This window comes from Homo sapiens, chromosome 1, assembly GCF_000001405.40.
Source record: "Homo sapiens chromosome 1, GRCh38.p14 Primary Assembly".
Classification (NCBI taxonomy): domain Eukaryota; kingdom Metazoa; phylum Chordata; class Mammalia; order Primates; family Hominidae; genus Homo; species Homo sapiens.
Window position 1 is genome coordinate 173,825,574 of NC_000001.11, and position 25,207 is coordinate 173,850,780.

Genomic DNA, 25,207 nt, shown 5'->3' on the forward strand with positions numbered 1-25,207 from the left:
TTCTCCTGCCTCAGCCTCCCGAGTAGCTGGGACTACAGGCGCCCGCGACCACGCCCGGCTAATTTTTCTGTATTTTTGGTAGAGCCGGGGTTTCACTGTGTTAGCCAGGATGGTCTCGATCTCCTGACCTCGTGATCCACCCGCCTCCGCCTCCCATAGTGCTGGGATTACAGGCGTGAGCCACCGCGCCCGGCTTTTCCCCTGTTCTTAACTGGATAGCCTTATGTGTAGAAGCGAAATTCACTCTCATTATATTCATTATACGGCAGTTTTTTTTCCCTGAGTTTTTAGAAAGACCACAAAAAGGTAACCACGTAATATATAGAATACTCTGCTTTTGGTTGATGCCTTAAAAAAATCCTTCTTCGGCCGGGCGCGGTGGCTCACGTCGTTAATCCCAGCACTTTGGGAGGTCGAGGAGGGCGGATCACGAGGTCAGGAGATCGAGACCATCCTGGCTAACACGGTGAAACCCCGTCTCTACTAAAAATAAAAAAAAAATTAGCCGGGCGTGGTGGCGGGCGCCTGTAGTCCCCGCTGCTGGGGAGGCCGAGGCAGGAGAATGGCGTGAACCTCGGAGGCGGAGCTTGCAGTGAGCCGAGATCGCGCCACTGCACTCCAGCCTGGGCGACAGAGCGAGACTCCATCTCAAAAAAAAAAAAAAATCATTTTTCACAGAATTATAATAGTGTTTTCTAGTGTACAAGTGGCTGTTAAACACTAGATTCATACTAAAGCTAAATAGTTCCTACACCGTCCATTTCTGCAGTTTCTAAAATCCTATTTCATTTGAGGAAGAAATGTGCAATATTAAGAATTGGGTAATTAGGATTTTAGGTCAATGCAAATGCTAGAAGATCAAAAAAATTTTGATTTCCTAACACAAGACAGAAATTTACATTCAGTTATTCACTTGGCTTTTGACACATTTGCAGGTAAATTTAATAGTGAATGAATTAAATTACATACTCTGACTTATTTTATTTTATAAATTTCCCCTGTAGCCCTGACATACCTAAGATATATTTTGAGAATTTTCATTTTTAAGCAACCTGCAAGTGATGTATTTTTAATCTTGCCTTTTAAAGTTTCTTTTTTTTTTTTTTTTTAAAGAATTCAGTAGCTTTGTTGTCCGGACCAACACATGTGGAGAGTTGCGTTCGTCTCACTTAGGCCAAGAAGTCACCTTGTGTGGATGGATTCAGTACCGAAGGTAAATTGAGAAAGACAGTCTAAGAATGCATGGTGGTGGTTTTCCCAGGGCAATTCCAAACCTTTACTAATTTACAACCAGTCCGAAGAATAAAACGTTTTGCAACTCCTGCAGGATTAAGAACTTACTGAATTTTCAACTTTGTTTTAGTTTTGAAAGACCCAAGTGTCATTCTCAGTAGACATTTTGAAAGACCCAAATGTCATTCTCAGTAGGTACATCTCAGTAACATCTGTTGAAGGGTATAACAACGAAGCTTGATCCACCAGTGGACTGAAATGATACTGGGCTTACTAAGACTGAAGAGTTCCTATAACCAGTAATTAAAAATGGGCCAGCCTCCTATAAACCAGCTGTTAAACTCCAATAGCATGGGGGAAAAGCTCATCTTATTCCATGTAGGTAGAGAAGAAGCCTAGAAACATAAACAGTGATTCCTTAAGATCAGAGCCCATTTTTTGTTGTTGTTCATCTCTCTATTCCAGAACATGCCTGAATAGAACATTAATTCACATGGAAGAGATTCAAAATACATAGGTTATATGACCTTCTTAAAGAATATGTCCCAGCCTGGCGTGTAAGCCTGTAATCCCAGCACTTTGGGAGGCCGAGGCGGGCGGATCACGAGGTTAGGAGTTCGAGACCAGCCCAGCCAATATGATGAAACCCCGTCTCTACTAAAAATACAAAAAAAGTTCGCCAGGCGGGGTGATGCTCGTCTGTAATTCTAGCTACTCAGGAGGCTGAGGAAGGAGAATTGCTTGAACCCAGAAGGCAGAGGTTGCAGTGAGCTGAGATTGCGCCACTGCACTCCACTCTGGGCAACAGAACGAGACTCCGTCTCAGGAAAAAAAAAAAAGTTTGTCCCAAGTAGGTGGATATTTTTCCCATAAGTTTAGTGACTGTTTCCTGAACCCAAATCTGAAGAGGGTTTCTGTACCTGTTCCTGATGCTGAGGATAGTATGAGAAATAGAGGTTGGATGTTAAAATGTTGGCATTTCTGGGACCTTTTGATGATTCATAGAGGTATTAAATTAGTAGTTGGAACTCTTCCAGAAAATGTTAGATTGTATCTTTTTTTAGAAAAAGACTATATTGCTATATTTCAAAAATGATCCATCAGATGTTTCTATTATGCTAAAATACTATCTTTGGATTTTACTATATGCAAAGTTTCCAAATTTAATAAAATTTTCTTAAAAGGACTTAAGCCAATGAAATTTCTTTTAATTGTTCATCTATAATAATTTTTCATTAATAAGCCATCTGTATAAGATTAATATACCAGGTAAGTAGACAATAAAAATTGAAACTGAAATAAAAAACAATCTTTTTTTTGGCAATGAGCTACATAGATAACAATTGCATGAATGTAACTAATGAAGGTACATAATTATCATAAAAAACATGAAAAATTATAATTATCATAAAAAAGAAACATGAAAAATTGCATGGATTTTTGTTTGCTTTTTATTTTGTATGCTTCAACTTTGGACTTAGAGATTTTATCTTAAAATGTTTCTTTTCCCCCCCCCCATTAATCAGGCAAAACACATTCTTGGTCCTAAGAGATTTCGATGGGCTTGTTCAAGTTATCATTCCCCAGGATGAGGTAATAGAAAATTTCCTGTTATTATCTAAAAGCTTCTTTGATGCTATTGCTGGGGTAAGCTAAGTAGTTAGATGAATATGTTAGAGGTTTTAAATTCAGAAGTTTATTGTTAATGAAAACTGAAAAATATAAGCAATGTTAAGACATAGCAAAAAGACCAGTGACCCAGTAGAATTAGGAACCCAGGATACGAACAAAAAATTTAGAGGAAAAAAATATATAAATGGCTTGTAGACATAATGAAAGTATGCCCAGCCTCACTCATAGGTAGAGAAATGTGAATTGAAACTGCATGTAATTGTCATTTTTAACACATTAGATTGACAACACACTGTGTTTGGGAAAGCAGGTGCTCAATACCTGGAGGGAGTACAAATTGGCACTAGCTGAAGGGAGAGCAATTTGGCAATATCAAAACTATAAATGCATATATCCTTTGAGCCATTAATTTCACTTCTGGTAAATTATCTTATATCTAGACTTATACAGATATAAAATGACATATGTACAAGGATATTCATTTCAGGATTCTTTTTAACGGAAAAAAATTGGGAACCACCCAGATGTCCTCCAATAAGAGACTGGCTTAAAAAATAATGTATATTCTTACAATACAATACTCTACTCAGCCGTACAAAAAAGAATGAAGAAGTTCTATTCTAATAGGGAAAAAAAAATCCAAGGAATACTGTTAAGTGAAGAACCCTGTATTCTTGAGTATACAAAAGAGCAGCTGTTAAACTCCAGCACTCTAAGTGCTGTCATCTGTATAAAAACTGGGGGAAGGATGCAGAATATACATTCAGTGTGTGTGTGTGTGTGTGTGTGTGTATTTGCTTGTATATATGTTAGGAAATGTCTCTGGAAGGATACCTAAGTATCTGGTAACATTAGGTGCTGCTGGGGGAAGGAACTGAGGGCGTTGAAAACAAGGATAGGAGGGAAGCTTTTTACTATATCTTTTTGTACCCCTTGAATTTGAAGCCATGTGACGGTATTACTGCTCAAAAAAGTATTTAATTTAATTACCATTGAAATTAGATAAAATATGACAGAGTGATATTCTGAAAAAAAAATTTTTTTAATTAAAAAATTCAAGGCCAGGCATGGTGGCTCACACCTGTAATCCCAGCACTCTGGGAGGCCGAGGCCAGCAGATTGAGTACAGGAGTTTGAGACCAGCCTGGGCAACAGTGAAACCTCGTCTCTACTAAAATACAAAAAATTGGCCAGGTGCGGTGGCTCACTCCTGTAATCCCAGCACTTTTGGGAGGCTGAGGCAGGTGGATCTCGAGGTCAGGAGTTTAAGACCAGCCTGACCAACATGGTGAAACCCCGTCTCTACTAAAAATACAAAAATTTAGCCGGGTGTGGTGGCGGGCTCCTGTAACCCCAACTACTCAGGAGGCTGAGGCAAAAGAATCACTTGAACCCAGAGGCAGAGGTTGCAGTGGGCCGAGATCACGCCACTGTACTCCAGCCTAGGCAACAGAGCAAGACTCTATCTCAAAAAAATAATAATAATACAAAAAATTAGCTGGGTGTGGTGGCATGTGCCTGTAGTCCCAGCTACTTGGGAGGCTGAGTTGGGAGAATCACCTGAGCCCAGGAGGTTCAGGCTGAAGTGAGCCAAAATTGCACCACTGCACTCCAGAGTGCACACCAGAGTGATACCCTGTGTCAAAAAAAAAAATTAAAATTAAAGAATTAGATAAAATAAAGAACTTCCATCATACTTACTGGGCAAAGTTGGTTTCTATTGCAATTTTTACTAACGCTTGTATGCCTAAGAAAAATATTATTTATTCAGCTCTTAAGTTTTGAAATAAATAAAGAGCAATGAATTATCTTTTAGGGATCAACATCCAGAGATGAGTATAGCTAACCCTGGAGAACTCCTTTGACTCTGACCCATTATTGCTATGGGATTTAACTGCCCCTAAGACTAACCCTGGAGACAATTGCTTTTCAAGTATGTGGGACTTGTTTGCACTAATAATAGTCATTCTTACCCTTATTTTCCTTTAAGGAAAGTTTTTTTAAAGCTCTTAACTAATAGTTTTACTTGCTGTATTATATAGAGTCAAAATGGGGATGCAGTTTTTACTAAATTTGGTAATAAAGTCATTAAGGAGCAGCCCCAGCCTTTATGGTAATTAAGCTGTGACTATTAACGTTTTTTAAACCATCTACTTATAATTACTGAAGATTCCTGTAAGTTCATTTGTTTCTCAGAACTCTTTTCCCCCTTGTTCTGTAGTCGGCAGCCTCTGTGAAGAAGATTTTATGTGAAGCCCCTGTGGAATCTGTGGTGCAAGTGTCTGGTACAGTCATTTCCCGTCCTGCAGGACAAGAGAATCCAGTAGGTAGTTTCGAAGATATCTGTGTAATTTTTGCTTGTATGCATTTGCACCATCTGTGTACACATTCTGGCAACACATGACTGGACATTAGGCACTAAAGTTGAATAAATTCTACAAATGAACTGACAGATTTCAAAATCTTGACTATAAACAAACACATCTATGTAAATATGCATGCTAAGTCTCACTCTGTCACCAGGCTGGAGTACGGTGGCGTGATCTTGGCTCACTGCAACCTCTGCCTCCTGGGTTCAAGTGATTCTCCTGCCTCAGCCTCCCGAGTAGCTGGGACTACAGGTGCATGCCACCACGCCCAGCTAATTTTTATATTTTTAGCAGAGAGAGGGTTTCACCATGTTGGCCAGGATGGTCACCATCTCTTGACCTCATGATCTGCCCATCTCAGCCTCCCAAAGTGCCAGGATTACAGGCGTGAGCCACCGTGCCTGGCCCTTTTTTTTTTTTTTTCAGGACGGGTCTTGCAGTATTACCCAGGCTGGTCTTGAACTCCTGGGCTTAAGTGATCCTCCTGTCTCAGCCTCCCAAGTATCAGACTGCAAGGATATGCCATGACATTTGTTGATATCTGAACACATCAGCCACATATGCATAAGAATGTCAAAATCATGCACAGACATGTATGTTTTATACTATACACTATAAGGACTTTGCACATTTTACATATGTAAATAAATGCATAGATTCTACAAATGTGTATTTTGTGTATATCCTGATGAGTAATTTTTAAAACCCTTCCTTCTCACTCTCCAAGAAAATGCCAACAGGTGAGATTGAAATCAAAGTTAAAACAGCTGAGCTTCTGAATGCCTGCAAGAAGCTGCCCTTTGAAATTAAGAACTTCGTGAAGGTACCAACCTCTGTTATTAATAAAATAGAGTATCTAGAAAATGTTGATGACTAGTCAAGTATTTTCAGAGTTTTTTAAAGAAAAGTTTAACTTCTACAAAATTAAGCATTTTATTGTAGACACATCATGAAGTGTTCTCTTAGTTCTACAACTTCTTGGCACACTGTCCTGAAATAATGACAGTTCAGTAAACTGTTGCAGTCCCTAAATACCTAGACTGTTTTTTCAGACAGATTAAAATGTGATTCTCTCTTTAAAACTTGAGGTGTTATATTATTCAAGTTTTTCGTTGCTATTGTTTAACATTTGAAAGGAAATTTATGTCTAGCTTAGAAATGGCCAGATGGGACAGGGGATCCTGTATCTATTAAGTGATAAAATGTGTGCTTAGAGCAACGCTTGACCTCCCAAGCATATAAATATAAATAGGATTACCATAATTTAGAATGTTCTTTGCCAAAGTTTAAGGGCTTGATGGAGCTGTACACTCATATGATTTTCAGCTTTGTCACAGTTTATAGACTTATATATTCCTAATTTTTAAACTGATCTATTAACAGATTTTTAATTAGTCTTAATTAATTAGTCTTACATTTAAGTTCATGGCCAATTAGTCTTACATTTAAGTTCTCAATACTTACGTTTAAGTTCATGGCCAATTGGTCTTACATTTAAGTTCTCAATACTTAATTATCTAATTAGAAAGAGCAATGTAATTATAGAGTTGACCTTATTTTGAAAAAGAAAATATATAGTTTTCCCCAGATGAGCATTCAAAAAGAGAAGTTATAGACATTTCCTAAGTTTTCAGCACAAAGAGGGATGCAGAGATTTGTAGCCTTGAAAATAAGCAAACTAGGCTGGGCATGGTGGCTCACACCTGTAATCCCAGCACTTTGGGAGGCCAAGGCAGACAGATCACAAGGTCAGGAGTTCGAGACCAGCCTGGCCAATGTGGTGAAACCCCGTCTCTACTAAAAATACAAAAATTAGCCAGGCGTGGTGGCAGGCACTTGTAGTCCCAGCCGCTCGGGAGGCTGAGGCAGGAGAATCGCTTGAACCCGGGAGGCAGAGGTTGCAGTGAGCCGAGATCATGCCACTGCACTCCAGCCTGGGTGACACAGCAAGACTCCATCTCAAAAAAAAAAAAAAAAAAGAGAGAGAAAATAAGCAAACTATTTCTACTAGTACAGCCATGGAGATTCCATCCACTGTCCCTTTGCATTCTTTACACTTGTAGTCAGCGTCCCATTCAGGTGAATCTTCTACTCTGATGTATCTTTTTTTAGGAGATGGGGTCTTGCTATATTGCCCAGGCTGGCCTCAAACTCCTGTGCTCAAGTGATCCTCCCACCTCAGCATCCCAAGTAGCTGGGATTATAGGCACATGCCACCATGCCCAGATACAGCATAATGGTGCTGTGTATTTTTCTAAGAGACCTTTGAAATCTTTAAATTTTTTTCAAGATTCAACTATGGGCTTAAATTAATGGATAAATGTTTAGTAAAGTAGGCAAATTTCAGTCAGTGAAGAGTGATATTATTAATAATGAATAGTAAAAAAATGTAAAATCTGCACTGATGACAAACTTAGAAGTTGTAGGAATTAACAGCATACAGTGGGCTACTTAATGATAGAAACTAAAGACAGAGCTAAAATTTTTGAAAATTCAAACTCTTTCTAAAGATAATACCTTTCTAATATTGAAAAATATTTAAATATAAAAATCTTTCAATTTCTTTAGAAAACAGAGGCTCTTCGGTTGCAGTATCGCTACTTAGACTTGCGTAGTTTCCAAATGCAGTATAACCTGCGACTGAGGTCCCAGATGGTCATGAAAATGCGGGAATATCTCTGTAATCTGCATGGTAAGAGAAATGCCTGGATGCTCTTTGGAGCTTTGTAGCATCTCTTCTATTTTATTCAGCAGTTTTATTGTATCCTTTCCTTAGCATGAGGTCAAGATGTTGCCAGAAGTCTGGAATTCACTCAATGTGTAATGTAGTTTTTGAAGAAAAGTTAACATTATTTTAAAGATGATAAAGATGATAGTCGCTATTACATTGATTAATGTATTATAGTATTTCCCATCATCATCAAAGGCAGGACAGCCCTTTGGCTTTTTCTATAAGATTTCTTTTCTTTTTTTTTTTTGAGACGGAGTTTTGCTCTGGCTAGAATGCAGTGGCATTACCACAACTCACTGCAGCCTCAACCTTTTAGGCTTAACCGATCCTCCCACCACACCTTCCCAAGTAGCTAGGACCACAGACATGCACCACCACACCCAGCCAATTTTTAAAAATTTTTTGTAGAGACAGGGTCTCATTATGTTGCCCAGGCTGGTCTCAAACTTCTGGGTTTAAGCAATCCTCCCACCTAACCATCCCAAAGTGCTGGGATTACAGGCATGAACCACGATACCCAGCCAGTTTTCTTAATTCTTTATCATGTGCATACATCACTTATTGGGAGCTCAAAAATGTCATGTGAATTAAACTAGACATCTCATTCAGTCCTGGACTTTTTCTGCTATATTTGTGTTATTTCTACACTAACAGAACATTTAAAAAATCAGAATAGTTCAGTAGACAAGAATCCATTAAATATTTAGAATTATTTTATGTGAACAGTATGCTTTATGAACAGAATAGTATTTATGAAAATCTTCAGCTTCCTTCTTAGATTTGTAGAAACCAGCACCAGTAGGCTTGGTAGCTTATTTCAGCTAAAATTCTTAATTAAAGGGAAGCCTCAGATTTGTTGTACTATATTGTGGACATCATATATGACAAATTTCACATTCCTATCTACTAAGTGATAATGTTTCTCTCTTTTTAGGGTTTGTGGATATAGAAACCCCCACATTGTTTAAGAGGACCCCAGGGGTATGTATATTCCTTCAATCAGTCTATTAATAATGTCCTATTAGTTATAAAGCTAGACTACTTTGCTTTTATATTCACTTGGTCCACTTTTATTTACTGCCTCAGGATGGTCATATTAACTAGGTTTTTCTGAAGAATTGAGAAAATTATTTGGGTATTTTGAGTCAGAATCATTTTATTCCACATAAATTTTCTTTCCTTTGAGTTTTTTTGTTTTTTTTTTTTTTTTTTTTTTTTTGGTTTGTTTTGGGTTTTTTTTTTTGTTTTTTTTTTTTTTTTGAGACAGTCTCACTCCATCACCCAGGCTGGAGTGCAGTGGCATGATCTCAGCTAATTGCAACCTCTGCCTACTGGATCCAAGCGATTCTCATGGCTCAGCCTCCTGAGTAGCTGGGATTACAGGCATGCACCACCATGCCCGGCTAACTTTTGTATTTACTTTAGTAGAGACGGAGTTTCACCGTTTTGGCCAGGCTGGTCTCGAACACCTGACCTGAAATGATCCGCACACCTTGGCCTCCCAAAGTGCTGGGATTACAGGTGTGAGCCACCTTACTCAGTCTCATTTGAGTTTTATAGATGTAATCATTAATAAATTGGTATTTTTTGTTTTTGTTTTTGTTTTTTTAGACAGTCTCGTTCTGTCACCTGAATCCGCCTACTGGATTCAAGTGATTCTTCTGCCTCAGCCTCCCAAGTAGCTGGGACTACAGGTGCGCACCACCACACCTGGCTAATTTTTGTATTTTTTTAGTAGAGACGGGGTTTCGCATGTTGGCCCAGCTGGTCTCGAAATCCTGACCTCAGGTGATCCACCCGCCTCAGCCTCCCAAAGTGCTGGGATTACAGGCGTGAGCCACCGCGCCCAGCCAATGAATTGGTTCTTTAAGAACAAATCTATTGGCCGGGCGCGGTGGCTCACACATGTAGTCTTAGTACTTTGGGAGGCTGAAGCAAGGAGGATGACTTGATCCCAGGAGTTCAAGACCAGCTTGGGCAACAAGACCGTATCTCTTGTCTTAAAGACCCTAAAGAAAAAAAAATGGAAAAGAAAAAAAATTATTTTAAAGAACAAATCTCTTATATATTAAAAATTGACATTTTTCGGCCAGGCACAGTGGCTCACACCTGTAATCTCAGCACTCTGGGAGGCCAAGGTGGGCAGATCACCTGAGGTCAGGAGTTAGAGACCAGCCTGACCAACCATGGCCAACATGGTGAAACCTTGTCTCTACTAAAAGTACAAAAATTAGGCCAGGCACGGTGGTTCACGCCTGTAATCCCAGTACTTTGGGAGGCCGAAGCAGATGGATCACCTGAGGTCAGGAGTTTAAGACCCGCCTGACCAATATGGTGAAACCCCGTCTCTACTAAAAATACAAAAAAAATTAGCTGGGCATGGTGGCAGGCACCTGTAGTCCCAGCTACTCAGGAGGCTGAGACAGGAGAATTGCTTGAACCCAGGAGGCAGAGGTTGTAATGAGCCAAGATCACGCCATTGCACTCCAGCCTGGGCAACAGAGCAAGACTCCGTCTCAAAAAAAAAAAATATTAGCCAGGTGCAGTGGCGGGAACCCATAATCCCAGCTACTTGAGAGGCTGAGGCAGGAGAACCGCTTGAATCCAGAAGGCAGAGTTTGCAGTGAGTCCAGATTGTACCATTGCACTCCAACCTGGGTGACAGACCAAGACTCTGTCTCAAAAAGAAATTTTTTTTAATAAATAAAAATGGACATTTCTGGCCGGGCGCAGTGGCTCACACCTGTAATCCCAGCACTTTGGGAGGCCAAGGCGGGCAGATCACGAGGTCAGGAGTTCAAGACCAGCCTGGCCAACATGGCGAAACCCCGTCTCTACTAAAAATACAAAAATTAGCGGGGCATGGTGGTGGCAGGCACCTGTAATCCCAGCTACTCGGGAGGCTGAGGCAGGAGAATCACTTCAACCTGGGAGGAGGAGGTTGCAGTGAGCCGAGATTGTGCCATCGCACTCCAGCCTGGGTGACAAGAGCAAGATTCTGTCTCAAAAAAAAAAAAAAGACATTTCTAAACATTAATAGTTACTCGATTTATACAGTCTATGAAATTATAAAACTACAGTTTAATTTGGAAATGCAATTAAGAATTACTTGGATAGGAAATGATACACAAAATTCATTCATCTAGTAACAAAATTGGAAATTCAATTCCGCAAGCATAAACTTAACACCTACCGTATACAATGGTGTTTAAAGTCTACTATGTCCAAGTCTTTTTAGGGACTCAAAGATAAGCAGGAAATTGTCTCTGTCATTGTAGGAACTTTGTTCTTTAGTCATTCATTGATAAACTGAAGTAACAACTTCTACTAGTTAGTTATACTTTGGGTTTGTTTTTGTTTTTTAATAATCTGTCTTCTCTCTCTTTCTCTCTCTTTGAAAGGGTGCCAAAGAGTTTTTAGTACCATCCAGGGAACCTGGAAAGTTTTATTCTCTCCCTCAGAGTCCTCAACAGTTTAAGCAACTTCTGATGGTTGGCGGTTTAGACAGGTGAGCTTTTTTTATGCTAGCAGTTGTCAGAAAAGGAAAAGAGAAAAACAAAGGGAAAAAAGGAAACACAAAATCCTCTCTGTTCTCAAGAGAAGGATAGAAAATTTATGAGAGTTTGGAGAATACTTATAAAATGCCCTCATAATTTATAGTCATCCTTTATTAAAGGTTTATTGGGTGGCCACTATGTACAAAGCTCTATGGTAGTAGATGTGAGAGGGGATTTAAAAAAAAAAAAAAAAGAATAGGTTCTACTCTCAAGGTGTTAAGGCTAGTAAGCCAGAATAGGATAATGAATAAAACCAACTGTGATATAAACCAAATGTAAATGTATTGAGATTTGCAAGTTAGGTGTTAAGAGCTTTAAAATTATACTTTTTGAGGAAATATAGAAAACTTTGTGAGCTAGATCGTTGAGGACAGAGCTACATTTCAGCAGGTGAAGATGAGAGTTGGAATGGCATAGCACAGAAAGTCTCAAGTGTATCCATGGCACAGTAAAGATTTCACTTTGGCCAAAGCAAAAGAGTATATATGAAGAAGCATGGGCTAAAAAAAATGTTTTAATAAAAAGAGCTGGCATGGACTGATTTGCATGCTAGTCTAAATACATGAATATCCAGAGGTGCCAGTGTTTATTTTGAAAACAATATATAGAATAGTTAACTTCTCATAGGTCAGCTGTATGTCTAATTCGATTAAAGCATCATAAAAAATAAAAGTATTTCTTACTTTTTTTTTTTTGAGACAGAGTCTTTGCTCTGTCACCCAAGCTGGAGTGCAATGGCGCAATCTCGGCTCACTGCAACCTCCGCCTCCCTGGTTGAAGTGATTCTCCTGCCCTTGCCTCCCGAGTAGCTGGGATTACAGGCGCACGCCACCCACGCCCAGCTAATTTTCGTATTTTTAGTAGAGACAGGGTTTCACCATGTTGGCCAGGCTGGTCTTGAACGCCTGACCTCATGATCTGCCCGCCTTGGCCTCCCAAAGTGCTGGGATTATAGGTATGAGCCGCCATGCCCGGCCCTTCTTACGTTTTTTAAGTATCATTGTTTTATAGCTTGCATTGCTTTAAACTTTTGGGGAAAAGTGTGTATGTCTTCCTAGAATCATAACTCAATTAATGCTATTTCTCAATTGTAGATATTTTCAGGTTGCCCGATGTTATCGAGATGAAGGTTCAAGACCAGACAGACAGCCTGAGTTTACTCAGGTACAAAGTTATATTCACTTGTTTCTTAAAATTCAGGCTTACTATTTTGAAATAGTATTTTCAAGACCAGTGCAGTATTAATACTTTACTTCTCATTACATTTTATCCATCAGATATTTAATTAAACTCACCTGCAGTTGAGAAACTAATTATTCTTTTTTTTTTATTCATTTCATGTGTCCTTTTTTAAATTTTTTTCTTTCCTTGGATAGCACAGGGGCCACACTGTCATTCAAATTTTAGTATGTGTGCTGCCAAAACGAGCATGTGTCCTTTTCATAAAGAATGTGGTCAGCAACTAAGGAATGCCAGAAGTTCCTAAAGTGTTCTAATGTTCATGATAAAGTCCTTAAAACAAATCTCTTATATATTATGAATAATTTTATATATTGATATTTTAATCTAATATGTGGACTTACCAAAGCTGTTACGATTTGCTTTCTGTATGATAGCATTTTATTTTACTTTATATTATTTTATTTATTTTATTTTTTGAGACAGAGTCTCGCTCTGTCTCCCAGGCTGGAGTGCAGTGGCGCGGTCTCAGCTCATTGCTGCCTCTGCCTCTCAGGTTCAAGCAATTCAGCTGCCTCAGCCTCCGAAGTAGTTGGGACTACAGATGCGTGCCACCATGCCCAGCTGATTTTTTGTGTTTTTATTAGAGATGGGGTTTGACCATGTTGGCCAGGATGGTCTGGATCTCCTGACCTCGTGATCCACCCGCCTCGGCCTCCCAAAGTGCTAGGTTTACAGGCGTGAGCCACCACGCCTGGCCAATAGCATTTTAATCATGTGTTGAAGTGAAAAAATTATGAGCTTTGGAGTTGGACAGACCTGGGATCAGATGTAGCTTCGCTGCTTACTAATTGCACATACGCAAATAAGTAACTTAGTTCTCTGAGCCTTCATGAAATGGTTGTGGGAACTAAGCAAGTTAATGTATGTAAGGCCATTAGCACAGTGTCTGACATAAAAGAGATGTACAATAATATTTATACCCTCTGCATGTATTATGTGCAAAATTCTATAGTAACTTGAAAGCAGAAAAATATATAAATGTGTATATATTGTGGCTAAATTAGTTTCCATATGGTACTTTGGTTTCAGATTGACATAGAGATGTCATTTGTAGACCAGACTGGGATCCAGAGTTTAATTGAGGGTTTGCTCCAGTATTCCTGGCCCAATGACAAAGATCCTGTGGTTGTTCCTTTTCCTACTATGACTTTTGCTGAGGTGCTGGCCACCTATGGAACTGATAAACCTGACACTCGCTTTGGAATGAAGGTACTTATCTTCACTTTTCTAGGACTCTGTCCCCAAATAATCCTGCAGTCTTTTTAAACCACTTTGAAATTGACAAGTGTTACACACTGTTAGATGATATTTTTGTTGTTACCTTGTTACCTTCGTTGTTACAGAGCTAGAGCAAGAGAGAATAATAGCATGTTAGCAATACAGTGCTTTCTATCTTTCATGTTCCAAGATCCATTTCCAAGAGCGAGATTCTTGCTATAAAGTTTTTATTACTTGCAAGTTATTGATTATATGGATATGAATGGTAACTTGAAAGAAAAAATAACTATTCTTTCCTTTTCAGTTTTTTTTTTAATCCAAGGAGTTACTAAGTTTCCTTGGTCCATAAAAAGCTCAAACATATGACAATGTTTATTCAAATTATTACTATCTGTAAGTATTTAAAGCAGGGGTAGAATTTATATAGAACAGTTTCATTACCAGGCCTCTACTTGTTTGCTCTTAAAGAGCAATATCCCTTGATCCCTGTAATGCTAGTGACATTTCTATATCTCAGTTCTCAGTGCACATTCTTTAGAAATTGGTCCTGCCTGGTCTGTGAATAGTCAGTGGTCAATTCTTAGAATGAAAAAAATACAATACACAAAAAGTCATAACTACCAACTTACAGCTGCCAACTCAACTACTTCTTGTTTCTTCGTTTGTAATATGGAATAGTGGTTCTTTTTTTGTATTTTTTTGAGACGTAGTCTCGCCCTGTTGCCCAGGCTGGAGTGCAGTGGTAAGATCTTGGCTCACTGCAACTTCGGCCTCCTGGGTTCAAGCGATTCTCCTGCCTCAGCCTCCCGAGTAGCTGGGATTACAGGCGCATACCACCACACCGGCTAATTTTTGTATTTTTAGTAGAGATGGAATTTTGCCATGTTGGCCAGGCTGACCTCCTGACCTCAGGTGATCTGCCCACCTCAGCCTCCCAAAGTTCTGAGATAATAGGCATGAGCCTCTGCGCCGAGCCTGGAATCTTAATCTGGTTCTTAAGTCAGACTGCTTGTGTTAAATTCTGGCTCTGCCACTTACTAGCTATGCCATCTTGGGCAAGTTCCTTATTTCTGTGTCTTGGTTTCATCTATGAAATAGGGATAATAAAGAGTGCTAACCTCATATGAAATGAATGAGTATATGTAAAACACTGGTCATATTGCTTAACCCATGGTAAACACTCTTTGAATGTATTCTATAAATGTTAAATTATCAAGATCTATTCTCTTCTTTAAAATCTTGTTTGTAAAATGTTTTCAGATAAAAATTACTTCATATTTAGTTATCTCTTTTTGTTACCCATTTTCCAGATTATAGATATCAGTGATGTGTTTAGAAACACAGAGATTGGATTTCTTCAAGATGCACTTAGTAAGCCCCATGGAACTGTGAAAGCCATATGTATCCCTGAAGGAGCAGTAAGTGAAGTACAGTTCTATGTTTCTCTAGAATGTATGCTTTGGAAGTAACTTTGTCCAATACTGTCATATTTAAACTTCAGAAAGAACAATTCTTTTTAAATAAAAATAGGGATTTTTGCTGGGCATGGTGGCTCACACCTGTAATCCTAGCACTTTGGGAGGCCGAGGCGTGTGGATCACTTGAGGTCAGGAGTTCAAGACCAGCCTGGCTAACATGGTGAAACCCCATCTCTACTAAAAAATACAAAAAATTAGTCAGGCGTGGTGGCATGTGCCTGTAATCCCAACTACTTGGGAGGCTGGGGCAGGAGAATCGCTTGAACCTGGGAGGCAGAGGTTGCAGTGAGCTGAGATCATACCATTGCACTCCAGCCTGGGCAATAAGAGCAAAACTGTGTTTGAAAAAAAAAAAAGTAGGTATTTTTATACAGAATCTAAAGTATTTCTAAAACCATAAGTAGAGAACAATAAAATTTTATGAATGTGAGTTTACATTCCAGATCCGGGGTGTTTTTCTTTTTTCTTTTTTTTCCCCCCTTTTAAACAATGCTATCAGCCAGGCATAGTAGCTCATACCTATAATGCCAACACTGTGGGAGGTCAAGGCAGGAGAATTGCTTAAGCTCAGGAGTTCGAGACCAGCCTGGGGAACATAGACCTCATCTCTACAAAAATTACCTGGCGTGGTGGCTCACACCTGTAGTCCCAGCTATTCTGGAGGTTGAGGTCCAAGGATCACTTGAGGCAAAGTGTTCAAGGCTGCAGTAAGCCATGATTGTGCCACGGCATTCTAACCTGGATAACATAGCAAGACCGTGTCTCAAAAATAAATACATAAATAAATGATGCTATGAAGTACTCCTGTACTTCATTGTGGATAATATGTGAGCATAAAATAATACGTAGTATTCTGTCTGCAGCCTCAGTTGTCTGTCTATCTCTTAGCCCTGTATCAGCACCAGCATGGCCATTGCATGTTGATTCTTTATCTTCTGAGAGTTCTCATCTCAGTTGCACTAATAACAGGGAAATAAAAGGAGATGGAGCTAAAAAAGCAAAAAGGAAGGGGAAGAAGTGGGAGTAGAAGAGAGAGAGAGAATGGTTGGGCTGAGCAAGTGCTGACTCTAAAGCAACGGTACACGTCTCTTTTCTGTAGGTAGTACATCTGCTTTAAAAAATAATTTCATAAGAAGTATTCCAGTTATATTTTAAATAAGATTATGATTTTGAAAGTCTATACTCATTTGGATACATAAGCATTATATTCAGAATGGAGTAAGAACTCAGGAACTCAGTCTCATTACTTTCTTTTTTTTTTTTTTTTTTTTTTTTTTTTTTTTTAGAGTGAGTCTTGCTCTGTCGCCCAGGCTGGAGTGCAGTGGCGCGATCTTGGCTTACTGCAACCTCCGCCTCCCAGGTTCGAGCGATTTTCCTGCCTTAGCCTCCTGAGTAGCTGGGACTACAGGCGTATGCCACCATGCCCAGCTAAGTTTTTTTTGTATTTTTAGTAGAGATGGAGTTTCACCATGTTAGCCAGGATGGTCTCAAACTCCTGACCTCAGGTGATCCACCCGCCTCGGCCTCCCAAAGTGCTGGGATTACAGGCGTAAGCCACCATGCCTGGCCCCTCATTACTTTTTATTTACTTCATATATTCAGTAAAAAGTAATTTATTGTCATGCGGGGCACGGTAGCCCACGCCTGTAATCCCAGCACTTTGGGAGGCCAAGGCGGGTGGATTACTTGCGGTCAGGAGTTTGAGACCAGCCTGGCCAACATGGCGAAACCCTGTCTCTACTAAAAATTTAAAAATTAGCTGGGCATTGTGGTGGGTGCCTGTAATCTCAGCTACCTGGGAGACTGAGGCAGGAGAATCACTTGAGCCCAGTAGGCAGAGGTTGCAGTGAGCATGAGATCATACCACTGCACTCCAGCCTGAGCAACAGAGCAACACTCCATCTTAAAAAAAAAAAAAAAAAAAGTAATTTATTGTCCATACTCTAGTCCAGACATAAGAAATATGTTCAGGTAAGCTCAGTATGATATTTTGCCTATCATTATTTACACCATTTCAAGTTTGTTCTTTCTCAAGTAGATATAAGAACTGCAGGAGTGTGGATCATGTTTTCATCTTTTTATACCTTCCGTACCTAGTTAAATGCCACATTAATATAGTTAATGATATGTGGCATATGGGAGAAATAAGATGGTTAAAGTATGATTTCACAAATCACATGGTTTATTGCCATACAAAGAAAATTTTTTCTTAGGTTCACAATGCTTAAAAGAGAGAGAGAATAAGGGCCAAGCGTGGTGGCTCATGCCTGTAATCCTAGCACTTTGGGAGGCTGAGGCGGGCGGATCACGAGGTCAGGAGTTCAAGACCAGCCTGGCCAATATGGTGAAACCACGTCTGTACTAAAAATGTAAAAAATTAGCCAGGTGTGGTTGTGCGCACCTGTAGTCCCAGCTACTCGGGAGGCTGAGGCAGAAGAATCGCTTGAACCCCGGAGGCGGAGGTTGCCGTGATCTGAGATTGCCTCACTGCACTCCAGCCTGGGCAACAGAGTGAGACTCCCTCTCAAAAAAAAAGAAAGAATAACATGAACAATCCTCACAGGGAAAACACTCAGTAGCTGAGGTGCATTAATCACATAGCGAGTGAGTTCCAAAATTATTAAAGTCCACTTGCTCTATTAGGATGGAAGTAGTCCTCTGGGGAAGGTAAAGTCTAATTAAAGTTTGAGGTGTACTCTTATATGAGCTGTTCTTGGGAGAAGCTGGTTTGACCACCACAGTACACACTGTATCTAAGGTCCCTCGATGCTAGAGGGCAGTGCCAGTGTGGGTGGGTGAGGCTTCAGAGATTAGCTCCAAGACTAACAGGGTATCACCCATCTCTTGGCTGTAGGAGAAGCAGTTGACAGAGTATAGCCAGTCACAGCATGTGCTATCAAAGTGTCTGTCGAACTCTTAAGTTTATATGTATTTTTGAAGTCCAGTAGTTGAGGTCAGTAATTCACACATGGGAGTTATGATAAGGTTTGAGGTAACATTCCTGGGGGGAAGAGGGAGTTCACTCGAAGTTCTCACATAGGGGATCTGATAAAACATCATGCTCTCGAAAGGAGGGGGAATACACCCCAAAACATCAAACCATGTTAAGTGTTTGGATCATTTCAAAGTTATGTAACATGATAACCATAATGTCTCACTTGAAAGACACTGAGATAATTTCAAAAGAAAGATTTTAAGAAACCTCAAATAATCAAATTCTGAATCCTTTTATTGATCTGAAAGTTTTCTTTCACAATTCAGTTGTAGACATTCATGTTGAACATTTATCCTGCATATTAGATATAGAGGGTCTCCTGTGGAATACATTCACAGCTATTTCCAATAAGAGCTGCATGCCCAGCGTGGTGGCTCACACCTGTAATCCCAGCACTTTGGGAGGCCGAGGCTGGCCAATCACATGAGGTCAGGAGTTCAAGACCAGCCTGGCCAATATGGTGAAACCCCATCCCTACTAAAAATACAAAAATTAGCCAGGTGTGGTGGTGGGCACCTGTAATCCCAGCTACTTGGGAGGCTGAAGCAGGAGAATCACTTGAACCTGGGAGGTGGAGGTTTTAGTGAGCTGAGATCACGCCACTGTACTCCAGCCTGGGTGACAGAGCTAGACTCCATCGCAAAAAAAAAAAAAAAAAAAAAAAAAAAAAAAAAAAAAAATCTGCATAACTGGAAAAAATAAGCACTGTAACAAGCTTTAAAAATGTGTCATTTGGTAGCAGAAATTGGATTTTTTTTTTTTTTTTTTTTTTTTTTTTTTTTTGAGACAGAATCTCACTTTGTTACCCAGGCTGGAGTACAGTGGCACAATCTCGGCTCACTGTAGCCTCTGCCTCCTGGTTTCATGTGATTCTCCTGCCTCAACCTCCCGAGTAGCTGGGATTTCAGGCACCTGCCACCATACCAGACTAATTTTTGTATTTTTAGTAGAGACGGGGTTTCACCATGTTGGTCGGGCTGGTTTTGAACTCCCAACTTTCAAGCAGTCCACCCGCCTCAGCCTCCCAAAGTGCTGGGATTACAGGCATGAGCCACCGCGCCCAGCCCAGACATTGAATTTTTATTAAATCTTACTATTGTAATAGAAAGACACAAAATATATTTGTCATTTGATCGCATAACCATGTTTATGAAGCTAAGTGTCATACTGACAAGTTTACTTTGATTTTTCTTTCATCAGAAATACTTAAAAAGGAAAGACATTGAATCCATTAGAAACTTTGCAGCTGACCATTTTAATCAGGTAAGGAGTTAATTAGAGCAGTTTTTTTCCTTATACAGATTCAATATTTTTAACTATTATTAACTAAACTATCATTATCATTAGTTTTGAGCATCTTGTTATTTCAGATCATTCTTCTGCTTTTATTTACTTTTTATTTTATTTATATATTTATTTTGAAGATGTAGTCTTATTCTGTCGCCCAGGCTAGAGTGCAGTGTTGCCATAACAGCTCACTGCTGCCTTGATTTCTTAGGCTCAAGCAATGCTCCTGCCTCTTTCTCTCAAGTAGCTAGGACTACAGGCTCAGGCCACCATGCTGCCCAGTTGCACCCCTAGTCCCAGCTACTTAGGAGGCTGAGGTGGGAGAATCACCTGAGCCTGGGGGTCGAGGCTACAGTGAGCTGAGATCGCACCACCGCACTCCAGCCTAGGCATCAGAGCAAGATTCCATCTCGAAAAAAAATTGGGCTGGGCACGGTGGCTCACACCTGTAATCCCAGCACTTTAGGAGGCCAAGGCAGGCGGATCACTTGAGGTCAGGAGTTTGAGACCAATCTGGCCAATATGGCGAAACCCCATCTCTACTAAAAATAAAAAAAATTGGCCGGGCGCGTTGGCTCACGCCTGTAATCCCAGCACTTTGGGAGGGCAAGACAGGCGGATCACGAAGTCAGGAGATTGAGACCATCCTGGCTAACATGGTGAAACCCCGTCTCTACTAAAAATACAAAAAAATTAGCTGGGCGTGGTGGCGCGGGCCTGTAGTCCCAGCTACTCTGGAGGCTGAGGCAGGAGAATGGCGTGAACGCAGGAGGCGGAGCTTGCAGTGAGCCGAGATTGTGCCACTGCACTCCAGCCTGGACGACAGAGCAAGACTCTGTCTCAAAAAAAAAAAAAAATGCAAAAATGTGCCGGGTGTGTTGGTGCTCACTTGTAATCCCAGCTACTTTGAGAGGCTGATGCAGGAGAATCGCTTGAACACAGGAGGTGGAGGTTGCAGTGAGCTGAGATCACGCCACTGCACTACTGCCTGGGCCACAGAGCAAGACTCAGTCTCTAAATAAATAAATATTAGCTGGGCATAGTGGCACATGTCTGTAGTCCCAGCTGCTTGGGAGACTGAGGCAGGAGAATCACAAGCCCAGGAGTTCAAGGCTGCAGTGAGCTATGATTATGCCACTGCATTCTTGCCTGGGTGACAGAGTGAGACCCTGTCTCTAAAAAAAATAAAGGATCCAGCCAGGCACGGAAGCGCATACCTGTAATCCCAGCACTTTGGGAGCCCAAGGTGGGAGTATCACTGGAGCCCAGAAGTTTGAGACCAGCCTGGGCAACATAGTGAGACCTCGTCTCTACAAAAAACAGAAAAAAAATTAGCTGGGCATGGTGGCACACACCTGTCATCCCAACTACTTGAGAGGCTGAGGTGGGAGGATCACTTGAGCCCAGGAGATCGAGGCTGCAGTGAGCTGTGTTCACCCCACCGCACTCCAGCCTGGGTGACACAGTGAGACCCTGTCTCAAAAAAAAAGGAAAGAATCTTAGGTATGATAACAGGAATAAAATGAAACCATATAGGAGTAATTAAATTATGCTATAATCAAAGGAATTAATATTAAAGTTCCTATTTAAAATCTTGTTTTCTAAGACTTAATAGAGGAAAAATGCTCTTATAATGATATGTAAGAAAAGGAGGCTATAGGACTATATTTATACTGATTATAACCATGTAAAAACACTATATTTGTATATTGAAAATGGACTACCTACCTCTACTACCACTATTTCCCAAGCCTCATACCTCAAGCACAACGAACAATAAGTAGATTTTTATATAAGAAAAAAAGATCAGGTTAGTGGTTCCCAAAATGGGTTGAGACAAAATCAGAAAAGTCAGGGCAATATAACAAGCTTTTCATAAAGTTAAACAAATTTAAAGAACTATCCTTTTTTTCTCTGTCGGCGGTGGGGATGGCGGGGGGATGAAATATGTCTTTTCTTTATAAAATTAAAAATTGGCAACCCTTTATCTTCCAATTTTGTTTATTTTTATTTTATTAGTATATAAAATCTGCATCTAAGAACCATAGGACCAGGAAATAAGCCTGAAGGTTAACTTTGGCAGCTTTCAGTTGATGGGACTATTATTACATTTTCTTCTTTCATTCTTCTCTCTCTTCTCCTGTTTTCTTTTTCTTTCCTAATTTCCTGAACTTTTATATAAGAAATGGGTATTACTACTACTATTTTTTATGAGTGTTTTAACTTGATTTGGCTTCTAATTGCTTTCAGAAGATCTTATGTGTTTTTAGCAACATATGGCATACACATGGTTCAAAAAATAAAGAACCATTAATGATGAAATGCAATAATCATTTGCTCTAGCCTGCCCCATCCATCCTAGTATTCTGCCAGAGTATCTCTGTTTTTGGAAATATCTCTACATACTTTTTTTTTCTTTTTACTTAATTCATTTAAACCTTGTTAACTTCCTGTCATGAGAGATGAGGCTCACATATACAGACCTCACCTAGTTACTCTGTACCTTCTGCACAGCTGTCTTTCTGAACCTTTTTTTTTTTTTTTTTTTTTTTTTGAGACGGGAGTCTCACTCTGTCGCCCAGGCTGGAGTGCAGTGGTGCCATCTCGGCTCACTGCAAGCTCCGCCTCCCAGGTTCACGCCGTTCTTCTGCCTCAGCCTCCTGACTAGCTGGGACTACAGGCGCCCGCGACCACGCCCGGCTAATTTTTTTGTATTTTTACTAGAGATGGGGTTTCGCTGTGTTAGCCAGGATGGTCTCCATCTCCTGACCTCGTGATCCGCCCACCTCGGCCTCCCAAAGTGGTGGGATTACAGGCGTGAGCCACCGTGCCCGGCCCTTTTCTTCATTCTTTTCTGAGTTGAAGCCACCCATCCTGGATCCCAGGTTTTCCTCTTTCTTTTTTGTGTTGGAGTATGTAATCAAGTAACTTCCTAAGAAAGCATGTGAGAGATCAACTTACTGAGTTCTTACAAAATGTCTTTATGTTTAAAACCTCACACTTGATCAATAATAATTTGGCTTAGTACAAAATTTTGAATTGACAGCCATATCATCTTAGAAGAGTGCTGTCCAATAAAACTTTCTGTAATGATGGAAACGTTTTATGTCTGCATTGTTCGGTGTAGTTGTTGCTAGCCAATGTCGCTAGTGAACACTTGAAATAGGATAGTACAACTAAAGGGCTGAACTTTTTACTTTATTTCATTTTAATTAATTTAAATGTAAATAGCAACAGTGCATTGCTAGACAGCACAGCTTTAGAACATTTAAGGCATTGCTTTACTTTCTTCTCCCATCTGTTGTTACTGATGAGAAGTCTGATGCTTTGATGCTTGTGTGAATTTATTCCATTATAGCAGAGCTGGTTTTTTCTCATTGGAAGCTTTTTGCCTTCTGATTCTTTATGTTCTGAAATTTCAGAGTTTGTTTGCCTTTTGATCATTTTTCATTTAATGTGTTACACACTTGAAGAGCCCTTTCAATACGAAGGTTTATGTCTTTTTATGTGTAGAAAATTATTTTATTATCTAATGATTTTGACCTCATCATTTTTTCTAGTCTCTCTTTGGAATTTCTACTAGTTGTATGTCAAACCAATTTAACCTCTTTTCTTTTGCATGTCATTTTTCACCATTTTCTTTGTCTTGTTCTATTTTCCTGGGGATTTCTTCAACTCTTCTGTTGAATTTTTTTTTATTTCCCAGTAGCTTTTTTCACTGCATCTTATTCTGGTTTTATTCATAAAATATATTTTTGAGTACCTTTGAGGATTCAAGTTCTCTTTTGGTCCATAACTTATGTTTTCTCTGGGGCTAATTTTTTGGGTTTATCTTGGTCTTTTTTTTTTTTTTAATGCTGCAGAGTTTCTTCAATGTACAGTGATTGTTGGTTATCTGTACATATTCAAGAAAGGGGCATTTTAAAAGCTGGTTGGGGCCGGGTGCAGTGACTCACGCCTGTAATCCCAGCACTTTGGGAGGCCAAGGCGGGCAGATCGCTTGAAGTCAGGAGTTTGAGACCAGCCTGGCCAACATAGTGAAACCCCGTCTCTACTAAAAATACAAAAATTAGCCAGGCATGTTGACACACATCTGTAATCCCAGCGACTAGGGAGGCTGAGGCAGGAGAATTGCTTGAACCCGAGAGGCAGACTGCAGTGAGCCAAGATCAGGCCACTGCACTCCAGCATGGGTGACAGAGCGAGACTCCATCTCAAAAAAAAAAAAAAAAAGCTGGTTGGAAGCTCAAGAGAGAGGCTTTGTAAATGGTTAGGTTTAGTTTAGCATGAGCAGCAAGGCTGCTCTAGGCACTCAAGGCTTAAGAGTCCTGAGCCTCTCCAGAATTCTGCAGGGTAAAATCAGTTCCTTCTTGTGCTGAGGCTGCCTCCATTGTTCTTTATGCCAGACCTTCCTGCACCTTGCTTCTTTAATCATTCCTACTCAGTTCACTTGCAGTCTGCCAAAAATTCGCAGAAATCTCTCATCTGCTGATATTATTCTCCATTCTTCATCCCCTCCCCCTTTTTTTCATTATGTTGAAATGACTTTTTTTTTTTTTTTTTTTTGAGTCTCACTCTGTCACCCAGGCTGGAGTGCAATGGCCCAGTCTCAGCTCACTGCATCCTCTACCTTCCAGGCTCAAATGATTCTCATGCCTCAGCCTCCTGAGTAGCTAGGATTACAGGTGCACAGAACTGGCACAGCTACTTTTTGTATTTTTAGTAGAGATGGGGTTTCACCATGTTGGCCAAGCTGGTGTTGAACTCCTGAGGTGATCCACCCACCTCAGCCTCCCAAAGTGCTGGGATTACAGGTATAAGCCACCGTGCCAAGCCTACTTTATAAAATTCCCTTAGTATCATTTTGAATGGGTTCATGGAGATAATAGAGACAATCTCTTTTAAATTCTCTTCTATTGGGAACCGGAAATCTTTGTATTATAAGAAGATAAATTAATCCCACTGTTCAAAAAAAAAAAAAAACGTGAATAAGTCTTTTTCTTTTACACAGGAAATCTTACCTGTATTCCTTAACGCCAATAGAAACTGGAATTCTCCAGTTGCTAATTTCATAATGGAGTCACAAAGACTGGAATTAATCAGACTAATGGAGACCCAAGAGGAAGATGTGGTCCTACTAACTGCTGGAGAGCACAATAAAGCAGTAAGAAAAATTACTTCCAAGCATCAGTGCTGTTGATGCTGAACAATGCCTTACTCTCCTATGTATATAGTATACGTTTGAACTGTAGACTGTTAATTCATAAAATGGAGCTGCTCTGCATAAATCTTTTTTTTTTTTTTTTAAGAGACGGAGTTTTGCTCTGTTGCCCAGGTTGGAGTGCAGTGGTGCAATCTTGGCTCACTGCAACCTCCGCCTCCCGGGTTCTAGAGATTCTCCTGCCTCAGCCTCCTGAGTAGCTGGGATTACAGGCGCACGCTGCCATACCCGACTAATTTTTGTA

The 25,207-nt window shown here is 40.1% G+C and overlaps 1 protein-coding gene across 3 annotated transcripts in view, besides 1 other annotated feature; it reads left to right on the top strand.

The window, feature by feature from the left end:
• Nucleotides 1-25,207, top strand: part of DARS2 (aspartyl-tRNA synthetase 2, mitochondrial) — a 33,874-nt gene that overhangs the window by 901 nt on the left and 7,766 nt on the right. For 2 of the 3 annotated variants that reach the window (NM_018122.5, NM_001365213.2), the window contains exons 2-13: nt 1,114-1,213; nt 2,760-2,826; nt 5,087-5,188; nt 5,962-6,057; nt 7,803-7,926; nt 8,900-8,946; nt 11,367-11,473; nt 12,617-12,686; nt 13,794-13,973; nt 15,293-15,400; nt 19,656-19,718; nt 24,754-24,906. In NM_018122.5, coding sequence (NP_060592.2) covers nt 1,114-1,213; nt 2,760-2,826; nt 5,087-5,188; nt 5,962-6,057; nt 7,803-7,926; nt 8,900-8,946; nt 11,367-11,473; nt 12,617-12,686; nt 13,794-13,973; nt 15,293-15,400; nt 19,656-19,718; nt 24,754-24,906 — 1,217 coding nt within the window. The remainder of the gene's footprint in view (nt 1-1,113; nt 1,214-2,759; nt 2,827-5,086; nt 5,189-5,961; nt 6,058-7,802; nt 7,927-8,899; nt 8,947-11,366; nt 11,474-12,616; nt 12,687-13,793; nt 13,974-15,292; nt 15,401-19,655; nt 19,719-24,753; nt 24,907-25,207) is intronic. The other variant, NM_001365212.1, reaches the window with a different exon arrangement.
• Nucleotides 482-995: an enhancer, noted in NCBI's record as "H3K27ac-H3K4me1 hESC enhancer chr1:173795193-173795706 (GRCh37/hg19 assembly coordinates)". NCBI's record gives its function as "activates a minimal SCP1, AML or CMV promoter by ChIP-STARR-seq in naive H9 embryonic stem cells {active_cell/tissue: H9 hESC(naive)}" and the evidence as "EXISTENCE:reporter gene assay evidence [ECO:0000049][PMID:30033119]".